This window comes from Homo sapiens, chromosome 10, assembly GCF_000001405.40.
Source record: "Homo sapiens chromosome 10, GRCh38.p14 Primary Assembly".
Lineage (NCBI taxonomy): Eukaryota > Metazoa > Chordata > Mammalia > Primates > Hominidae > Homo > Homo sapiens.
Window position 1 is genome coordinate 101,744,884 of NC_000010.11, and position 21,986 is coordinate 101,766,869.

At 48.3% G+C, this 21,986-nt stretch overlaps 1 long non-coding RNA gene across 5 annotated transcripts in view, besides 1 other annotated feature; it reads right to left on the reverse strand.

Annotated features, from left to right (window-relative positions):
- The window catches only part of LOC105378458 (uncharacterized), a 31,140-nt gene that overhangs the window by 8,993 nt on the left and 161 nt on the right, over nucleotides 1–21,986 (reverse strand). For 2 of the 5 annotated variants that reach the window (XR_946258.2, XR_946254.2), the window contains exons 2-3: nucleotides 21,695–21,819; nucleotides 21,344–21,383 (exon numbers count right to left, since the gene is read on the reverse strand). This is a non-coding gene — a long non-coding RNA (uncharacterized LOC105378458). Of the gene's footprint in view, nucleotides 1–17,499; nucleotides 18,772–21,343; nucleotides 21,384–21,694; nucleotides 21,820–21,986 lie in introns of those variants that run through there. The other 3 variants (XR_946257.2, XR_946256.2, XR_946255.3) reach the window with 3 other exon arrangements.
- Nucleotides 13,099–13,600: an enhancer, noted in NCBI's record as "H3K4me1 hESC enhancer chr10:103517739-103518240 (GRCh37/hg19 assembly coordinates)". NCBI's record gives its function as "activates a minimal SCP1, AML or CMV promoter by ChIP-STARR-seq in naive H9 embryonic stem cells {active_cell/tissue: H9 hESC(naive)}" and the evidence as "EXISTENCE:reporter gene assay evidence [ECO:0000049][PMID:30033119]".

Consider the following 21,986-nt stretch of genomic DNA (forward strand, 5'->3'; position numbering starts at 1 on the left):
ACTCCTGAGCTCAAGCTATCCGCCCGCCTCGGCCTTCTAAAGTGCTGGGATTACAGGCGTAAGCCACCATGCCCAGCCCATCACTTATTTCTTGAGACTGTCTGGATACCAGGCCCTATGGGAGGCTCTGGAAAACCAGACATTAATTAGATTTGGTCACTGATGTTGAGGAAGTCATAGTATAGAAAAAATATATTTTAAAACAGATACCTTGGGGGAGGAGCGAGGGCACAGATATGCTGGAAGGGTAAGGGAAAAAAATCTCTGAGGAGATGTCGCCCAAGCTATGATAAGAACAGGTAAAAATTAACCAAGTGAAGGAGGTGCGAAGAGTGTTCTAGGAAAGAAATAGCTTGTGCAAAGGCCTGGAACAGCGAGTGCCCCAAACACTCAGGGAACTCCAAGTAGATCAGGTGTGGAGGATTAAGCAGGAGCCAAAAGTGGGAGAGGTGAGCCTGCAATGTCAGCAGGACCCACAACTTGAAGATCTTCTGTGTGAAGTTAAGAAACTTCATCCTGATCACGGAAAGCGGTGAGGAAACACAGAGAGGCTTTAAACAGGGAAGTAACAGTCAGATTGAGTTTTAGGAAAAAATCACATTGGCAGCTTGCCAGGCAGAGAGGAGAGAAAAAGATTCCATGGGGAAAGAACAGCCCGTGCAAAAGGCTGGAAGAACACAAGGACCAGTGACAGCGAGTGATCTGGTGTGACTCAAGCATGCAATGCATGGCGAGGAGCAAGAAGACAGAAGCCTGGGAGGGAAATGTGTACAGATGGTCAAGGGGCTGAAATTCCAGGCTCAGGAGTTTGGATTTAATTCTTCGGGTACTAGACAGAGGCAAGAACCTCATGGGACTCAGTGTGAAGGTAGGACACAGACCAAAGGTCAAGTTTTCCTAGCTCTGCCATTTATTAGTTAAGCCTTCGTTTCCACAGAGGTACAATGGAGATAACAGCCATGAGGATTAAGCAAAATAATGTATGAAAAGAGCTTATCACTTTTTAAAAGCTCAACATACAGTAAGCACTCAAATGTTACCTCTGAAACCTATGTAGGACACATCACATCCAAGGGCTCTCAATTCCTACATGAAGATCACAGGAGATTCTGCTGCAGGGAAGACTCTGGGGTGGGATGCCACTGACCTCTTATTTTTAAACTCTGGCTAAGTTTCCTTTTTTTTTTTTGAGACGGAGTTTCACTCTTGCTGCCCAGGCTGGAGTGCAATGGCGTGATCTCAGCTCACTGTAACCTCTGCCTCCCGGGTTCAAGCCATTCTCATGCCTCAGCCTCCCTAGCAGCTGGGATTACAGGCATGCACCACCACGCCCAGCTAATTTTGTATTTTCAGTAGAGACGGGGTTTCTCCATGTTGGTCAGGCTGGTCTTGAACTCCCCACCTTAGGTGATCCACCCACCTCGGCCTCCCAAAGTGCTGGGATTACAGGTGTGAGCCACTGCGCCTGGCCTGAGTTTCTATTTTTTATGTAGAAAATAATTGTGTGAGACCACAACCACCCTCATTTGGGGGTAGTTCTCTTTAAGAAACTCACAGGAGCCCTCCACAGTGGGCACCTGTAATACCAGCACTCTGGGAGGCTGAAGTGGGAGGATTGCTTGACCTGGGGAGGTCGAGGCTGCAGTGAGCTGTGATCACACCACTGCACTTTAGCTTGGGCCACAGAGCAAGACCCTGTCTCAAAACAGAGGAGCTCAGAGGAACTCATACACCACACCTCTGGTATTATGAGTGGCTTTCTGTAAAGGAGAGCACAGCAAGCCAGCAACTCATTTTGAGTGTGGCGGACATTCTCTCCTCAACCTGGGGCCAAACTTTGGGCTCCCATAGTCCTCTCAACCCTGAGTGTCTGTTCATTTCATATGCATCTTAAAATGTTCTGTATGTGCAGAATAGTTTATATATCATATGTGAGCAAGAAAAAGTATTTTATGTTTGTATTTATAAATATCATTATGTGTCACTTAATAAGGGGGATATGTTCTGAGAAATGCATCATTAGTGATTTCCTTGTTGTGTGAACATCACAGAGTGTGCTTCCACAAACGTAGGTGGTACAGCCTCCTACATACATAGCCTATATGGTAGAGCCTATTGCTCCTAGGCTACAAACCTATACAGCATGTGACTGTACTGGATACTGTAGGCAGCTGTAACACAATGACAAATATGTGTGTATCTAAATATATGGAAACAGAAAGGGTATACAGTAAAAAATACAGTATTATAGTCTTATGGGACCACCATCCGATATGCAGCTGTCGTTGACTGAACATCATATGACTTTACATGGAATTGTTCTTAGAACCTGATAACTGGGTCTTCTCCAGGGTAGGAAATGCTGTGTGTAGAGACAGAGGTTGCAGGGAGATTGCGAGGGGTACAATATTCTGTTGTACCCTTTGAAGTACCATGTAAACATATGATCTATTTAAGCAAAATTTTTAAAATATGAAAGCATGGCTGGGCGCGGTGGCTCATGCCTGTAATCCCAGCACTTTGGGAGGCCAAGGCGGGTGGATCACTTGAAGTCAGAAGTTCGAAACCAGCCTGGCCAACATAGTGAAACCTCATCTCTACTAAAAATACAAAAATTAACTGGGCGTGGTGGTGCATGCCTGTAATCCCAGCTACTCATGAGGCCGAGGCAGGAGAATCACTTGAACCCAGGAGGTGGAGATTGCAATGGGCTGAGATCACACCACTGCACTCCGGCTTGGGCAATAAAAGTGAAACTCCATCTCAAAAAATATATATATAAAATATATATGTATGTAATATATAATATATATTATATAATATATGTAATATATTATATATTATATAAATATATACTATATTATATATAATAATATAGTATATAATATATAAAATATATATTATATATCATGTATGATATATATGATATACATATACATATATACATATACATATACATATACATGATATACAATATACATATCACATAATATACATTATATATAATATGTATGCAATATGTAATATGTATATATTATATATGTATATAATACGTTATGTGATATGTATATAATATATTATATGATATGTATATAATATACAATATGTATATATGTATTATATATACAATATGTGTATATGTATTATATATACAATATGTATATAATATATATATGAAAGCATTTTTGCTTTCCAGTAACAGAAGTTTACCACATCCATTGTTGGTTTACTCTTCAGTTTTGCCTTCCAGCACCTTGTTCTTTGGTCCAAAGCCAGAGTGGTGAAGGAAAGGGTGACAGACTTGCATTCCCTCCCCCACTGCAGGACTTAGAACCTTTCTGTGACCCAGGCCTCCCAGCTGGAAAACGAGGAGAGTGGCATTTGCCACATTCCCCACAGGGGTAGCATTGAGAACTGGCTATCTGCTGGTAAAGGATTTCCGGATCTGTGAATAAAAGGGAATATATTAACACAAAATACTCTTGCTTTTTAACCCCACATAGTTCTAAGGAAATCTAATATAAAGGCTTGGGATCCACTTACAGTTGCTGTACTAGAGGTGAATGTTAATTAGTGACATTGACAATCGTCATTTTCTCTGTAAACCTACTTGGTGACTGGAAGCTGCAGGAATCTTGCTATATGAGCCTTCTGTCTTTGAACAACAAAGTGTCAGTCTGACCGTCCTGAAACAGACAAGAAAGCTGCCCACCTCAATTACAGGCCTCAGCTGAGAATCAGGGTTTGGTGTCCACACAGTCTCTCTAGATTGCCTGGCTGGCTGGGTCCAGTGACTGTGTCTTATCTTTCAGCGAGGCTCCCTGCTTCCTCTCTCCAGTGCCCTCTTCCAGGGTGGGATGCACAGAAGGCATTTAATAAATGATGACTGAGCCTGTGGCTGGCTACCTGCCTGCTTTCAGGAGTGGCCCCGCTTTATAGATGGGGAAACAGAGGCACACAGAAGTGCAGTACTTTGCTTGAGTTCCTTGTTGGAATCCCTGGTTCAGGCAGGAGTCTCATTTCAACCCCTAATGTTCATCTCTTCTATTCTCTGAACAGAGAGTGCTTGAGAAGTTCCAGCATTTCCATCTTCAAAGTCAAGAAATAGAAGAAGCAGTTGTAAAACAAGACCTGAACCTAGACAATCTGGGTAGATGACAAAGCCACCGTCCTTCCCCAGGCCTCAGTGTCCCCATCTATAAAATAATGGTTTGGACAGGATGATCTCTCAGGTCCCTTTACGTTTCCTATGGGCTGTGTATACCGCCCTGCGTTCACTAGCCAATTGAGGCCATTCTTCTTGTTATTTCTTTACCTCCTTGAGTTTCTCAGGAGTTTCAAGGGGGCGCTGTGAAACTGGTTACTGGGCAGCCAGCAGGCCTTTCCTTGGAGCTGCCTGGCTGCTTGGTTTCCCTGCTGGTAACCAAGCCCTTGTCTGTCTTTCCAGCAACCCAGCCCTTTTCTTATTGTTGCTGTCTGTTTCCATTTGTTCCTTTTATTCTCCAGGTTTTCCTTGACTCTGATGTTTTTCCCCCTGCTGCACAACAAGCCCTTCTGATCTCTGTGAAAGGCAAACCCGTGTCATTCTTCCAAATCATCATTGTATGACATGTTTTTATATCAGCCGGACAAAGGAGCTATTTGATCAGGGGGTATGGTGTGTGATTGTAAGAAATTCAGCTAGTCGGTGGCAACCATTGTTCCCCAAGCGGCTCCCTGACCCCATTCTGTTCCTGGAAAAACTCCCTGAGAGTGGCCTCTATTCATGGAGTAACACCAGTCCCCAGCCGCGCTCCAGGAGCATGCTCAATTCCTAGCAGTGTCACCGATAGCTGCCCGAAGCCACCCTTTAACTCTTTCATCAGCATTAAGTTTCCAACCCCACAGCTGTTATCACGGCCATGAGCTCAGGGGGTTAGAGATACAGGCATGCTCTCTGCTCTCCCTCTTATCTTGGAGAAATTCAACCTTCCTTTGAAATGGTCATTTGGAAATTACCCGTCTGCTGCTTTCAGCGCAGCAGGCCTGGCTAGCACGCCTGTCCTCCTCGGTTTTCCCCTGAGGACAGCCTTCCAGCACTGCCAACTCCCAGGCCCTGCTGCTCGGTGGCCTCCCTCCTGGTATGGAATCTAGTGGCACCTCAAAACCATTTCTGATTGCCTGAGGTAGAAGTGTGAGGCCCCTCACCCTAGCCTCAGAGTCCTTGCCAGATCGTTCTGGAAATGAGGAAATACTTCCACACACTAATGAATGTTACTTAGTCAGGCTTCTTTCTTTTTTGCAATACACACTGGGCCCCTATATGTGTAAGGCCTTGTGTCAGGTATTGTAGGACAGACAGAATTGTATAAAAATTGGCCCTTGGCCCTAGGAACTCCATCCATTAGAAGAAATGAAACAAGTAGGCCGGGCATGGTGGCTCACGCCTGTAATCCCAGCACTTTGGGAGGCAGAGGCGGGCGGATCATGAGGTCAGGAGATCGAGACCACCCTGGCTAACACAGTGAAACCCCGCCTCTACTAAAAATACAAAAAATTAGCTGGGCGTGGTGGCGGGCGCCTGTAGTCGCAGCTACTCGGGAGGCTGAGGCAGGAGAATGGCTTGAACCCGGGAGGCGGAGCTTGCAGTGAGCCGAGATCGCGCCACTGCACTCCAGCCTGGGCGACAGAGCGAGACTCCGTCTCAAAAACAAACAAAAAAAAGAAATGAAACAAGTAGACATGAATCTGTAGAAACATCCATAACATTTTAATACTGAGTGATTCTTTGAAGTGTCTTAACACCTAATGATGGCATTGGGATTTTTCTCTTTGTCCCTGTGTTCTTTTTTTTTTTTTTTTTTTTTTGAGATGGAGTTTCGCTCTTGTTGCCCAGGCTAGAGTGCAATGGCGCGATCTTGGCTCACTGCAACCTCCGCCTCCTGGGTTCAAGCGATTCTCCTACCTCAGCCTCCCGAGTAGCTGGGCTTACAGGCATGCACCACCACGCCCAGCTAATTTTTTTGCATTTTTAGTAGAGACAGGGTTTCTCCATGTTGGTCAGGCTGGTCTCGAACTCCCGACTTCAGGTGATCCACCCACCTTGGCCTCCCAAAGTGCTAGGATTACAAGCGTGAGCCACCACACCCAGCCTCCTGTGTTCATTTTACAGAGACTAGAAAAAGTAAAGGGACCTAAATCACTCAAAGCCAGTAGCTGAGCAAAGGCTCAAATGTAGAGTCTCTGATTCATTTTTCTCCTGGTTCATTCTATTAATTCATTGACTGCTCCTTTGCTCCAAGAAGCTGGCAGTAGATTAGACTGTTGTCATTTGTCTGTAACTACTATCAGGAAGACAAGACCTCAAAGCTAATACAAAATTCCAACACAAGAGTCTAGAATCCTAAATCAGGCTCCTTGGCCTCATCCCCACACCAGTGTTTCTGTGCCTTGAGTCAACAGAATGGCCTCTCCAGTAAGAGAATCTCAGCCTGGCTTCCCTATCTCAATTCCTCCTTGGCTCCAGGGAAACACCCACAATATAACAGATAAAATATTAAGGTCTATACACAGAGTGGCTGAAAAATTTATTGTCCTGTGTACTGATTCATGCTACAACATGGATGAACCTTGAAAACATTATGCTGAGTGAAAGAAGCCTGACTCAAAAGGCTGCATGTTGTATAATTTTATTTGTATGTCTAGAATAAGTAAATCCATAAAGACAGAAAATAGCAGTTGCCAGGGGCTGGGGAGCCAGGGAATAGGGAGTGACTACTAATGGATACAGGGTTTCTTGTAGGGTAAAGAAAATGTTCTGGCCCGGCGTGGCGGCTCACGCCTGTCATCCTAGCACCTTGGGAGGCTGAGATGAGAGGATCGCTTGAGCTCAGGAGTTCAAGATCAACCTGGACAACATAGTGAGACCTCGACTCTCCTAAAAATTTAAAAAAAAAAAAAAATTAGCTGGGCATGGTGGCTTGCGCCTGTAGTCCCAGCTACTCAGGAGGCCAAGGCGGGAGGATCATTTGAGCCTGGGAGGTAGAGACTGCAGTGAGCCATGATCACGCCACTGTACTCTCACCTGGGCAACAGAGTAACCCCGTCTCAAAAATAAATAAATAAATAAATAAATAAATAAATAAATAAATGAAAATGTTCTGGAATTAAATAATACTGTTGATTGTAAAAGTTTCTCAGTATACTAAAAGTATGAATTATGTACTTTAAAGGGGTAAATTTTGTGGTATGTGAATTATATCTCAACAACAAAAATGGAAAAGATGGAGGAAAAAAATACCACCTAAAAAAAAGTTTGTCATCCAAACCAGGACTGAGGCACTGTTTTTTTTTGAGACAGGGTCTCACTCTGCTCCCTAGGCTGGAGTACAGTGACCCAAACATGGCGCACTGCAGCCTCGACCTCTGAGACTCAGGCAGTCCTCCCACTTTGACACTTTTGAAGTATTAATAATCACCCTGGGAAAATATGTATAAACCATATGGTGACTCTAGCTAAGGACAATGAATGAGAGCTCTGTGTGCAATCTCTGTGTGCCACCTGTCTTTACATCTTCTCTAAGGAGCTTAAGCAATAGCCTACCCAGCCAAGAATTCTGTGGCCACTGGTGGCCCTAGGGACCACGTGTATTGGTACTCTCAGCTCTCCTTGGCTCTTCTGCTCCCAAATTCCCTATGTCATTTGGGATTCTACTTCCCAAATAGGACCTCCTTTTTTGTAATGAGCTTTAAAGATTTACTCTACTCTGACATACATTGGACCTCTGCCTAATCATCGGATTTCCATTCCTTCCTTCCTTCCTTCCTTCCTTCATTCTTTCATTCTTCCATCAGTCAATTATGTAGTCTCTACTGGTACCAGGCAGTCGGGCAGTGTAGCAGCTGAGGAATACAGATGGATAAGTTACGTTTTCTTCCCTCAAGAAATTCACTTTCTATTAAGAAGATCGACATTTTAAATAGAAGGCAGTGAAGACACTTCCGAGCTAGAAGTATGTATTGGGTACAAGAAGGCCCAAAAAAGGGGGAGGTCGGCTTTTCCTGAAGGTGGGACTTTCCCCATGCCCACCTCTGGACATTCCAGAGAGATTGATAGGACCTAATTTGGCATCCCACAAGAGGAGAGGAGAATGCTTTCTCTGTCTTTGGTTGCCTCTCCCATTCCCATGCTCCTCTCCCATTTGGTGGCTGCTCTTAAGTGGCCTCTCACTCCCCCCAGCACACTGGGACGCTGCCACTGACTGGCATCTCTGGAGCCTCTTTCCTGGAGGCTCAGATTCCCATCCTCTGGGTGTTGTCTGGCCCTTTTCTTCCTAAGTGCATTGTGTTCTTGCCCATTTTCCTGCCCACTTACAAAGGCTTATACGGTTAAGCCCTTTGCCCAAGGTCACAGCTGGTTAGTAACAAAAGCCAGGCTAGAACCTGGGTTCAACCCTCAAAGTGAAGTCCTTCTGAGCTTCCAATGAAGGGTTTTATTTTCCTAACAAACTGCCTTGTAACCTGAAGAGGTGAACCCCAGCCAATCTCAGACCCACTTTTTTTTTTTTTTTTTGCTAATTTAGCTGCACCTTGGCCATTCCAGGGGTGGCAGAGTTCATAAGCAGTAAGTAAATGATTAGTAACCCCCCCACCCCACCAAGGGTGCAGGTCAAGATCTCAGCACAAAGATCAGGTTGGAACTTCTGATCTCTCCCAGCCTGTCTGGGTAATCCCAGTCCCCCTGCCATACAGTTTGGGACCCATCTGACAATGGAGTTTCCAAGACTGGGCAGAAGGAGCAATGGGATTTGGTTCTCCCATGATATAGAAGAAAAAGTTCACACTTCGATAATTCAGAGTCAGAAAAGCTTAGGGGTTAAAAACCTGGATTTGAAAGGCCAACAGATCTGGATTTATTTATTTAGAGACAAGGTCTCGCTCTGTCATCCAGTGGACTCAAGTGATCCTCTCACCTGAGTCTCCCAAGTAGCTGGGACTACAGGTGCACACCACCTCTCCCAGGTAATTTTTTATTTTTTGTAGAGACGGGGTCTCACTTTGTTGCCCAGAGTGGTCTTGAACTCCTGGCCTCAAGTGATTCTCCCACCTTGGCCTCCCAAAATGCTGGGACTGCAAGTGTGAGCCACTGTGCCTGGCCCAGATCTGGATTTAAATCCTAGCTGTAAAACTTTGGAAGGAAGAAATTCCTTTGCTTTTCTGAACCTCAGTCTCCCCAATGTAAAATGAAGATAATGTATTCAGGGGAAAAAACCCTCATGAAGGTAATAACTACCTCATAGTACTATTATGAGGATGAGATGAGATGAAGTGTACCAAGGCTTAGAACAACTCTAGTAGACAGTAAGCACTTAATAAATGGTATGTAGCTTTTGTTGTTGTTATCTTTTCTCAAACTATCTCTAATCTTAGAAGGGTCCAGAACTCTGGGGACTGGTTGGCCAAGTTTCCCCAGATAATGTTTGCAGCCCTCTTATTTGCCCCATAATGGCAACTTCATTCATTAATTTACCAAAATTTATAAAGCACCTACTATATTCCAAGGCTACTTGAAACATTATAGTTACAAATAAGAAGTTACAACTCACTGTTGTAAATAGAATAATGTATAAGCCCAGAGGATTGCCTGGGAGACATAATAGAGGGTAGAAAAGTTTAGGTCTCGAAGGGTATGTAGGAGTTCACTAGGCAGAGGGAGCAGCACATGAAAAAACAAATGCATGGAAAAGCATGTAGCATTTGGGAAATGTTAAAAAGTTCTGCATCACTAGAACCTTCCACAAAAGAGGAAGGAAGCCAAGCACTGTGGCTCACACCTGTAATTCCAGCTAGTTGAGAGATCAGACGGGAGCATCACTGGAGTCCAGGAGTTCTGGGCTCCTGCAATATAGCTGCCTCTGTCTCAGAAAAAAAAAAAAAAAAAAAAAAAGTGGTGTCGGGCATGGTGGCTCAGGCCTGTAATCCCAGCACTTTGGGAGGCTGAGACAGGCGGATCACGAAGTCAGGAGTTCAGGAGCAGCCTCGCCAACATAGTGAAACCCCGTCTCTACTAAAAATACAAAAATTAGCTGAGTGTGGTGGTGGATGCCTGTAATCTCAGCTACTTGGGAGGCTGAGGCAGGAGAATTGCTTGAACCCGGGAGGCGGATGTTCCAGTGAGCCGAAATCGCACCGCCACCGCCGCACTCCAGCCTGGGCAACAGAGCAAGACTCCGTCTCTGAAAAAAAAAAAAAAAAAATGCGGATGGAGGTAAGTCTGAGAAGTTGTGGTCAGATTGTGGAGGACTCCCTATGCCCAGCTCAGGAATTTGAACTTTACCTTGTGGGCAGAGGGAAACGAGATTTTTGAGCCTGCGGGTGACTTGATATGCTCCTTGGTTTTGTTTAGAGATTTTTCTTCTGGATGCTTTGTAGTGGAATGATGGCAGAAGGAGCCCCCAAAGTTTTGGGACAGGGAAGGGGATGCTGCCCCACTAGAAAGGCGAGAAAGTGCTGCTGCTGCTCTGGTTTCCCAAAGGGAGAAGTCAGTTTCCTCTCCACTTTTTGTATGTGCTCTTAGTTTATCTAAATTTCACAAAGGTTCTGAGAGACTTTCAAAGACTTCAGAATTTTTGCTTTCACAAAACAGAGCTGAGGTGGCATCCTCTCAAAGTTCTTCTTGGCCCTACAAAAAACTGGTATTGATCTTGGGGTCAGGAAATCTGAATTTTATCTCTAACTTCTTTCTCTGTGTCTCTAACTTCTTTCTCTGTGGTTTTTAACTTTAAAATATATATATATATATATATATATATATATATATATATATATTTTTTTTTTTTTTCAGACAGAATCTCGCTCTGTCACCCAGGCTAGAGTGCAGTGGCACAATCTTGGCTCACTGCAAACTCCGCCTCCCGAGTTCACGCCATTCTTCTGCCTCAGCCTCCTGAGTAGCTGGGACCACAGGCGCCCACCACCACACCCAGCTAATTTTTTTTTTTTTTTGTATTTTTAGTAGAGACGGGGTTTCACCATGTTAGCCAGGATGGTCTTGATCTCCTGACCTCGTGATCTGCCTGCCTCAGCCTCCCAAAGTGCTGGGATTACATATGTGAGCCCACACCCGGATCTTAGTGTTTGCATGTTGTATTACTTTTTATCCTTTTACTTTCAGCCTACTTATGTCATTATGGGTTTTGTTTGTTTGTTTGTTTGTTTGTTTTTGAGACAGAGTCTCATTCTGTCACCCAAGCTGGAGTGCAGTGGTGTAATCTCAGCTCACTGCAACCTCCGCCTCCTGGGTTCAAGCAATTCTTGTGCCTCAGCCACCCAAATGACTGGGATTACAGGCACATGCCACCACTCCCGGGTAATATTTGTATTGTCTTTAGTAGAGACAGGGTTTCACCATGTTGGCCAGGCTGGTCTCGAACTCCTGGCCTCAAGTGATCTGCCTGCCTCAGCCTCCCAAAGTGCTGGGATTACAGGTGTGAGCCACTGCGCCCAACCTTCTAACTCCTAATTAATTGGCTGTATGAGCTTGGGCAAGTAAATCTCTGTTCCTCAGTGCCACTTCCTTTCATCAGGTGGGAACTCTCCCCTGACAGAAATTCCCTAGCACCGTTTGGCACCTGTCTGGGGTCACTTTTGTCATTACATTCTGCTTGGCATTATTAGTTATTGTTGTGCTTTGCAGAGTGGAAAGAGACTGGCATCAACAAATCTAGCTTTAAATCCTGGCTTGGTCACTTACCAACTGTATGGCTTGGAGAAGTTATCTAATTATCTGAACTCTCATTTCCTCTTCTGTAAGTCTGGAATATTTATACCTAACACACTGGGTCATTAGAAGGTCAATAGAAGGAATAATTGAAATAAAGTATGGCTGGGCCCAGTGGCTCATGCCTACAACCCTAGCACTTTAGGAGCCAGGAGGATCACTTGAGGCCAGGAGTTTGAGACCAGCATCGGCAACAAAGCAAGCCTCCATCTCTACAAAATAAAAATAAAAAATGAGCCGAAGGTGGTGGTGCATGCCTGCAGTCCCAGCTACTCAAGAGGCTGAGGTGGAAGGATTACTTCAGCCCAAGAGATCAAGGCTGCAGTGAGCCGTGATCCTGCCACTGCACTCCAGCCTGGGTGAAAGCATGAGACTGTCTCAAAAAAGAAAAGAAAAGAAAAAAGAAATAAAGTGGCTGGGTGCAGTGGCTCACACCTGTAACCCTAGTACTTTAGGGGGCCGACGTAGGCAGATCACTTGAGTCCAGGAGTTCAAGACCAGCCTGGACAATGTGGTGAAACTGTCTCCACAAAAAATACAAAAATTAGCTGGGCATGGTGGCATGCACCTGTAGTCTCAGCTACTCGGGAGGCTGAGGTGGGAGGATCGATTGAGCCTGGGAGGTGGAAACTGCAGAGAGCCGTGATTGCACCACTGCACTCCAGCCTGACTGAGCAAGACTCTGTCTCAAAAAAAATAAAAATAAAAATAAAAATAAAGAAAGTATAGGCTGGGCGTGGTGGCTCGTTCCTGTAATCCCAGCACTTTGGGAGGCTGAGGCGGGTGGATCACCTGAAGTCAGGAGTTCGAGACCAGCCTGGCCAACCTGGTGAAACCCCGTCTCTACTAAAAATACAAAAATTAGCTGGGCGTGGTGGTGACCGCCTGTAATCCCAGCTACTCGGGAGGCTGAGGCAGGAGAATCACTTGAACCCGGGAGGCAGAGTTTTCAGTGAGCCGAGATTGCGCCACTGCACTCCATCCTGGGAGACAGAGTGAGACTCTGTCTCAAAAAAATTAAATTAAATAAGTAAAGTACATAAACAGTGCCTGAAACCCAAGGCACTCACTAAAAAATATTTGTGTGAACATAATATAGACCTCTCACCACACACACATACAGTAGTAGTCTTGGTACCTAAGCACTTAGCTTAAAACATTTATATAGTGTGGACTTAGTGTCAGTATTGATACTGCATTTATGCCTTGGTTTTCTTATCTTTAGGGTAGTGATACTATCTGACTTACTGCACTGAATAGCTGGAATAAAACTGAAAAATATGCCCATTTGTAATTGCCTCTTCGACATTCAACCATAACTTATGTATGTAGTTTCTCTTACTAGACTGCAAGCTCCCTGGGAACAAGAACGAATCATTGGTTTCTCTGTAGAGAGAAGTGGAATGGAGCCTAGGGCTCTGTGTATGTGAGTGGAAAGAATCATTCACAAGCCCCACATTCTACTTGGAGCAGTCCCCAAGCTGGGAGCTGCCTCCAGCCAAGCCCACTATCCCCTTTCAGTTGCTACTTTCGCTGACTTTACACAGGTCAAGTGTAATCACCACCCAAGTTTACTTCACATTTGTCTTGAAGATAGTGTCCTAAGCTTCTTAACCCAGGCCCCAGTCACGAATGGCAGCCAGAGGCCTGGCCTTGAGCTGCTGAGATGTTGAGGAAGTGAGCAGGGACCAGCAGGGTCTCTCTCTAACTGCGGCACAGAGCCAGTTCTTGGTGCCAGCCCCGGAGGATGGTCATTCTGGGAAGCCTGAGCTTGGGGGCTGCAGGTGAAAGGCCAGTCAGAGAGCCCGCAGCATCAGAATAAGCTCCCGGCCTTAGCACCAGCAAAATGACCCCTTCTCAGAATCCAAAGCTGCTGCCCACTCAGCAGTAGCACAGGGAGGCCTCTGCCCCTGGGACCCATCCCAACCACCTCTCTTTGCCCTCATCCCCAGTTGGCTTAATTCCAAGGATCCTCCTAGATGGATTGGGATTCTCAGTCGGCCTTCAGAGCCACGCCAGGGCCACATAACAGCTCAGCGAAGCACATTGATGCAGCAAAATTTGGTGGGTCAGCGCTGGAGGGCCTGGAGCTGCTCTGCAGCAGAAGTTTCCCTGTTAGATCCCTGGAAACCTCAAAGGCCATACCCCCTCTGAGACACCTTCTAACCTGCATCTGTATCCTTGGAGGCAGGCAGGGAAGGGGTTGAGCTTAAGATAATCTACTCAGCCTGCTGAGGGCTTCCTCTGAGGGCTCTGGGCTGCCTAGGAAAAGGGGAAAAGGGGAAAAGGAATTCTTCAAACAACAACCCTCATAGCAAGTACTGAGTGGATGCTGTGCCCAGCACTGTTTTGACTACTGGGTGTGCTTTCTTGTTGGCCTTCCACCTATAAGTAGGCACTATTGTGAATCCCATTTTACACATGAGGAGACTGAGTCCTAGAGAGGTGAAAAAACTTTCCCAAGGTCACAAGGATCCCAGCTAGACAAATGACCACTCCTAGCCTTTGTCTCACATAATGGCTTGAAGGGGAAGAAAGAATTTATTTTGAAATTAACCACGGTTCTTGGGCTCTTCTGCAGGATTTCAAGTGTGCAGAATGCGGCCTGGCAGAAGGTGCATGAGTACTTCAGAGTGCAAAAGCCCTGGGTTCAGGTCCAAAGTCAGCCACTGCCTAGCTCTAGCGCTTCAGGCAAAGTGCTTCAGTCAAATGGGGCTAGTAGTTCTGACCTTGCAGGGCTATTGTGAGGATCAGAATAACACACTCAGCATGCCTGGCAGCTGGTGGGTGCTCAGTACATGGTCACCATGGCTATTCCTCTCCTCTGCCCTCCCTTGGCTGAGCGGGTGCAGGCCCCCATTGCTGCTGGCGGCCCCATGACTGACTGCTCCAGCAGCCCATTGGAGTAAGTGGAAGCAGCTGGGAGAGGGGTCGGGGGAAGAGGGGAAGGGAGGGGACAGCTTGAGAGCTTGAGTGACTGCAGCCCTGAGGGCCTCACAGGGGATATAGGCCCTAGCCACAGGTGCACCAATTACTCTCCCCTCAAAGAAAGCCTGGGGTTCACTTCTCCCCCACCCCCGTTTTCCCACTCTGCTCAGCCCTGACCTTTCTGCAGAAGGCGGTGGCAGCTCCGCAGCACCAGTCCGCTGGCTGGTCGTTTGTCTTCAGGTTTCACAGCCTCCCTGAGGCTCCCAGTGCTTTGCAAGTTTTCCCTCCCTTTCCCAGCCACTTCCCAGTTAGCCTGGGAGCCTCTTAGTGGCAGCTCGGGTTTCATTCCTGGGAGCTTTGTTCCAAATGGAAGTTTCTGGTTGGGATAATCCCTGGGTGTGAGTGGTCAGTGCAGGAAGAGTCAGGAGCCTCTCTGGGAGGCAGTGGGAACAACCCCACTAGTCCAGGTGCTCTGAGAGGGAGCAGAGCTGGGCTCCTTGTCCTGGAAGCACCTTCCCATCGAGGCCCAGGGGCTGACCCTGGGCAGCCGGCCTGGAGCCCACCCATCTCTTCTCTGGTAGGTCCTGGCTATCATCCTCTCCTGGATGCCCAAGAGAGTTCTGAAGGGTTCAGACCCTTCATCTCCTTTACCACCTGCTGCAGTTGAGATACCAGGCACAAGAAGCTGAAGGGACCCCAATCCCTGAGGCATCCAAAGCAAATATTGTTTAAGTCTATTTTATAAAACAGGCTTCCATACAGGTTTTGCTCAGGAAAAAAGTTTCTGTTGCTAAAAAAAATTTTTAAGCAAATAATCTAATTCAAACCTTTTACTTTCCAGATGAGGAAATTAAGGTTCAGAAAAGACAAGTTTCCCGGAGGATCCTACAGCAATTCCATTCTCGTCTGTCTTCTCTGTGAAGGCGCTTGTGAGCCACGCAAGCACAGTGCCTGGTGCTAACCCACGTGTTACCTGCGCCATGTTGTGTAGTAGACTCAGGTTCACTACTCTGGGAAGCCCAATACATGGGCCAGCCTGAAGGCAGGGACCTTGCCACATCCACCCTGCTCTCTCCAGTAATTCAATACTCAGTGTGCATGGAATTCAACTGGGACTGAGCCAAGTGGAGCTGAACTCCAGCAGAACCAGCCCAGGGTCCTGTCTTCCACCAGTTTTCAGCTGCCTAAAAACCAGCCATGGCCAGCACACTCAGCATTCCTGCCCCCATCCCCTAAACCCCAGCGTCTTCACACAAACCCTGCTCTTCCTGTCTCAGCCTTCCCCACTCCTCATCAGGAAGGCCTGTCTAACCATGGCCATCTGCTACATGGGAGGCCTTAGGAGTCAGGGATCTATCCAACCTGTGCACCATTGCTTCCCAACACTCTACTGCCTGGCATGTAGGAAGTGCTCAGTAAACCCTTCGTGAATCAACGCAAGGCACTAGGGAAAGGAAAGCCTTCGCATTTGGCTAGAGGAAAGGTCAGAGCCTTGAATGTCAGCTGTGTTCTCAGTGCTTCTCTCTTGTTCTGTTTTTCCCAACTCCAGCAACTCAGGCTTGACTTTTCGCCAATTTGCCTGGGCTTATTTGGAGTGAGAGGGGTGGGAGGCAAAGCCAGGCCTGAGGGACAGAGAGGCAAGAACGTGCACACTGGCCCCCGGGATAAGCAGGGAAACCATCCCCTTGCAGCCACCACATCATCCGTCCATCTCAGTTCTCCCAGGCCTTCAGGGGCCGGGGCCTTTGGCAGCCACACCTGCTTGGATGAGTGGAAGGGATGGGGAGAGGCCAGCCAGTCTCGGTGTGCATGAGGGACCTTGCCCAGCCTCTTTCCCAGCCTCCTGGCTGCCTTAGGCCCTCGGCTGCCAGAGCTGTTTCCCCAGGGAAGCAGCCTCCTTACAGACTCTGCTCCTCGGTGGCTCTCTGATGATGCCACTGTGCAAACCTGGGCTCCCAGGGACTTGGCTCAGGTGGCCCACCCCGTCTCCCAGATTCCTTCCCGGCAGTAGCCACCATCACTGTTAGGAAGCATTGTTAAGGTACCCGCTGGACACTCGACACACTCATTTTAACTCAGTCCTGGCAACTCCTATGGTGGAGTGATTCCCTGTTGTGCAGGTGAGGAAGTGGGGGCTGGGAGAGGTGAGCTGACTTGCCCCGATTAAATGACCAGGCAGTGACAGAGCCAGGGTTCAAGCTCAGGGCTGCTGGACTCCAAAGCCCTTGCCCCTCACCCTCACACCAAGCCACTTCTGATTTCTGGCTGTCCCTGTGGCCATTCCTCTGACTTCCTTCTCTGACTCTGCTGAGGCCTGGAGGATGCCACAGCAGTGTCAGAGCAAATGCCAGGGGTGGGGGGGAGTGAAAACAAGGAAAATCCCCTTTGCTTTCCATTCCCTCTGTCTACCTACCCCGCTGGTCTGATGAAAGTGCCCAGATGGGGGCCTGCTTCCTGGGGCCGGGTTCTTGCACAGGGCCTGCCACCGATACCAGACTCTCTCATCCCTCACACACTCGTACACACTCATACCAGGGTTGCCCAGGCCAAAATAGCAACTTTAAACACCACCTGCTTAGGCTCTGACCGCCCCCCACACTCAGCACAAAGCTGTGGCTTTAGCCATTTGGTCACTCGGCTCACCTTGTCGTCAAGCTCTTTTTCCCAGAGCCCCATCTACCCATCACACCTCATTTAAGGACACCCCTAGCAGCCACCCTCCCTCCCTGGGCTGCTCTCATCCCTTCTCAGGAACCCCCTCTGCCACTCAGCTCAGGAGCCCCCACCCCCAGCACCCCAGGGAAGATAAGACCTGCCTTAAGGGAAGTGGCTGGAACTTGAGCCCAAGGTAGAGAAGTCAGCCCAAACCCTCAGAAGCCTAAGCCCCAGCGTCCTGCTGACCTGGCCTGTTCTATCAGAACTGAGATCAGGCAGCTCCTACATGGTGTATTACCCAGGATGAATGTTTTATGAGTTTGCTCTTCATTACCAAGGGCTCCTTGCAGAGGGCGGGAGGGGGAGGGTATAGAAAAAGCCCAGGGAGAGACTGGGCAGGGAGATGGGTTGGAAGAGCATGGGGTGGCCCAGGTGTCTTTATGATGGGACAGGGGGCAGTTCTTTGTGAAGAAATATTCTGCAGGACTTGGTGATATTTGTCATATTGAGATGATTGAATGTCAGAAGCTAGAAACAGGGAAGAGTCCAAGAAGGTGGTTTTGGAATCTGGGTTTTCGGGGGGCTGCATGTATGGGGGCAGAGGGACAGCTGGAATTGGGTGTTGGCCCAGGCCACCCCTACCCTCTGAAGTCACCGACCAGTCCTCTAGGAAGTTGGCCTGGGTCTCAGGACCACAGTGCTGTGGCTGCTGCAGGCTTTGCTATTCTGCCACTCTCGGGTCCCAAGCCAGGCATCTTCCGGACCTATGGGGTCAAGGGAATGCGAGGCAGCACACTGGCCAGAGCTCTATTCAGGCTTCTCTGTGCTCCCTGAATGCCATGCCCAGGCCTGGGCCCTTGTTCTGAGCACCTCCAGCCAGGCCCTTACCTACAGCCCATCTGAGTCTTCATGACTGGGGGACCTGGCCATATCTCCAAATGCCAATGGTGGGGACCTTGGTCAGCAGGGCAGAATGCTGACTGTCCTCCCCCAGTACCCACTGCTCCATACACGGCCAGGGAAGGAATGGCAGGAAACGCTCCCCAAACCCACCCAGGGGCTGCAGCCAGTTCCACTATTGCCAAGAGAGGGGCTAGGGAGGGAGCTAGACCGCAGAGGGAGCCGGAGCCTCGCTCAGGGCCTGCCAGCAGGGAGGGGGTGGGTTTTGCATGAGGGGTCAGCTCTGGGGCCTGCCCAGATGGACAGTTACTTCTTGAGGGTCAGCAAGAGATCCAGATGGGGAAGGGGGCAACCAAAGGGACCTATTGGCACAACCCTCCACGGCAACATGGGACTTGGGGATCCCCCTGGAGTTCCTGCCAGCTCCCCATCTGTCTTGCTACCACTTACTCCTCCTCTCTCCTCTGCTCTCTCTGGCTCTTAATTCCCCTTCACTCTCTCCTGTGAAGTCCTCTGGTTGCTACGGAAACCTGATGGCGATGAAGAAAGCAGAATTTGGGGAGGTTCTGAGATGTCCAGACCAATAGGCCCTGCCTAGATGTCTGCCTGTCCAGGTTTTGGAGACATTTGTTGCAGCTTGAGAAAATGATGGGGGGCCTGTGCCAGACAGCCTTGGACCTTTTTCAGTAAGCAGTGCATGTCGGATGGGCGAAGAGAAGTCACCCATCCCAGGACCATCCTCAGGTCTCCCTGCCCTTCAGACATTTCCTAACGCCTGACCCATGGCCTGGATACAGAGGACTCCCAGCCTGCCTTCTCCGCAGCTGCCTCAGAACCTGCTCTATGTGGATTGCTTGCACAAATGCTTGCTGAACACCCACCATGTGCTGGGCACCATTATAGGCACTGGGCTTTCATCAATGAGCGATTCAAACAAAGTTCCTGCTCTCCTGGGAGGTAAGGGTAGAGTAGACCAAAAGCAAGTAAATAAAAAAACAGGATAAGATCAGACAGTGATAAGTGTAACGTAGAAAATAAAGCACAGGCCGGGCACAGTGGCTCACGCCTGTAATCCCAGCACTTTGGGAGGCCGAGGCAGGTGGATCACCTGAGGTCAGGAGTTTGAGACCAGCCTGGCCAATATGGTGAAACCTCATCTCTACTAAAAATACAAAAAAAAAAAAAATTAGCCAAACGTGGTGGCACCTGCCTGTAGTCCCAGCACTTTGGGAGGCTGAGGCGGGCGGATCATTTGCGATCTGGAATTCGAGACCAGCCTGACCAACATGGTGAGATTCTGTCTCTAATAAAAGTACAAAAAAAACCCAAAAAATTAGCCGGGTATGGTGGCGCCTGCCTGTAGTCCCAGCACTTTGGGAGGCTGAGGCGGGCAGATCATTTGAAGTCTGGAATTTGAGACCAGCCTGACCAACATGGTGAACTTCTGTCTCTAATAAAAGTACAAAAAAAAATTAGCCGGGTGGGGTGGCGCCTGCCTGTAGTCCTAGCTACTCAGGAGGCTGAGGCACGAGAAACGCTTGAACCCGGGAGGCGGAGGTTGCAGTGAGCCAAGATCATGTCACTGCACTCCAACCTGGGCGACAAAGCAAGATTCCATCCCCCCGCCCCTCAAAAAAAGGCAGACAGTGAGAGCGGAGAGACCCACATCACGCAGTCGGCCAGCCAGTGATTTGGAGGAAAGACATTCCAAGTGGCAAGAACAGCAAGTGCAAAGGCTCTGAGGCTCCCTGGGCTTGTTAGAGAAGCTGGAGGAAGTGTGTCCAGGGAGCAGCAGGCAAGAGGGAGGGCGGGAAGGAGTGGAGTTCCACAGGCAGAGCATGCAGAGGCTTGTGCTGGCCTGAAAATGAGTTTGAATTCAAGTGTAGGTATGGTGGGAGTAACACAATCAGATTTGCGTCTTGAAAATTCTGGCTTCTGAGTGCAGAATGGATTGTAGGGGGATAAGACAGGAACCAGGAAGAGCAATTGAGGTTGGGGGTGGGTACTGCCATAAACCAGACAAGAACTGATGATGGCTTGGAGCAGGGTGGTAGCAGTAGATAGGTAGATAGGGTGGGTGGTGGATGGATTGGACTGGAGAGATGTTCTGGAGGGCAAGCCAGCAGGAACTGCTGATGAGAGGCAAGGGTGATGCTCCCAGGTTAAACCAGCCCCGTTTTTTGGCCACCTCCTCTCAGCCCTGGGGTTGAGTGGGGGGTAAGGAGTAGGGAGGCAGGATGACATGAAACTTTTCCCTAGCCCCAGGTAAAGCTCCGGACTCAGAATCCTTCTGTCCTTCCCCTAGGTCATCAGGCCACAGCACTCTCTGCTTTTCCCCCTGCCTACCTCGTGGGCCACACAGTCTCAGTCTTCTTTACCAGTTCTCCCTCTTCACCTGTCCTCTAAATTTTTGGAGCACACTGAGGCTTGGCCGGCTCCTCTTCTCCATCTCTGCTCACTCCCTAAGGAATCCATCCTGTCTCCTGGCTTTGAAAATCATCTGTGTGCTGAACACTCCCGGATTGCTATCTTCACACTAGACTTCTCCCCTGAATTCCAGACTCACACACAACTGCCTACTCATCTCCTCTTGAATACGTATGTAGTCAGCTCAGATGTAACATGTGCAAAACCAAACTCCTACCCTTCCCCTCCAAATCTGCCCATCCTGGAATCTCCCCCATCTCAGTGAATGACACCTCCATCTTTTTCGTTGCTCAAGCCGGAAACCATGGAAACTCCTAGACTCCTCTCTTTCCGCACAAGCCACATCCAAATCCATCAGCAAATCCTGCCATCTCTACTTGCGAAAAATGTCCAAAACCCCACTCTCTCCTGACCATCTTCCATTCACTACTATCTCTCACCTGATTATTGCGGTAACCTCATAACTGGTCTCCCTTGCCCTGCTACCTTCTAGTCTCAACACAGCAGCCAAAGCAACCTTGGGAAAACTTAATTCAGATCATGTCACTCTACTGTTGAAAACCCTCAGTGAAATTAGCTATGTGTGTAATCCCATGCCTGTAATCCCAGCTACTTGGGAGGCTGAGGCAAGAGAATCGCGTGAACCCAGGAGGCAGAGGTTGCAGTGAGCCGAGATCGCACCATTCCACTCCAGCCCGGGTGACAGAGGGGGACTCTGTTTAAAAAAAAAAAAAAAATTCCTCAGTGGTTTGCGGTCTCATCCAGAGTCAAGCTTAAGTCTTTTCAATGGCCCCACAGGATCTGCCCTTTGCCAAAAGGTCTCTGCACCCCTTCTGTCTCTGTGACCTCACCTCAGTTTCTGTCATTCTCTACTACCCCCAACCCCCAACTGCACACCCCCTAGATCCTCCCTTAGCTGTGCCGCGGCCGTGGTGGCCTCCTTCCTGTCCCCCTAATGCAGTGTGCCTTTGCAGTGGCTGCTCCCTCCACCTGGATCGTCCTCCCCCAGGTATGGGAATGTCTTACCCTGATGGAGTGTGCTCAGACCCGAAGTTATCCACAAGGTCTTCCTGATCACCTTGTTTAAAATCGCCACCACCCTTCACACTCATCCTCTTCTCTGGAATATTGAGATGGCTGGATGTCAGAGTCTAGAAACGGAAGAATCCAAGAAGGTGTTTTTTGAATCTGGGTTGGTCTATGTGGCGGTTGTCACTGACTGATGTGTCCTCCCCCACTAGAATATGGGCTCCAGAGTAACAGGCATTTTTGTGTCTTATTTTCTGCTCTGTCCCCTCACCCAGGACAGAGCCTGGCA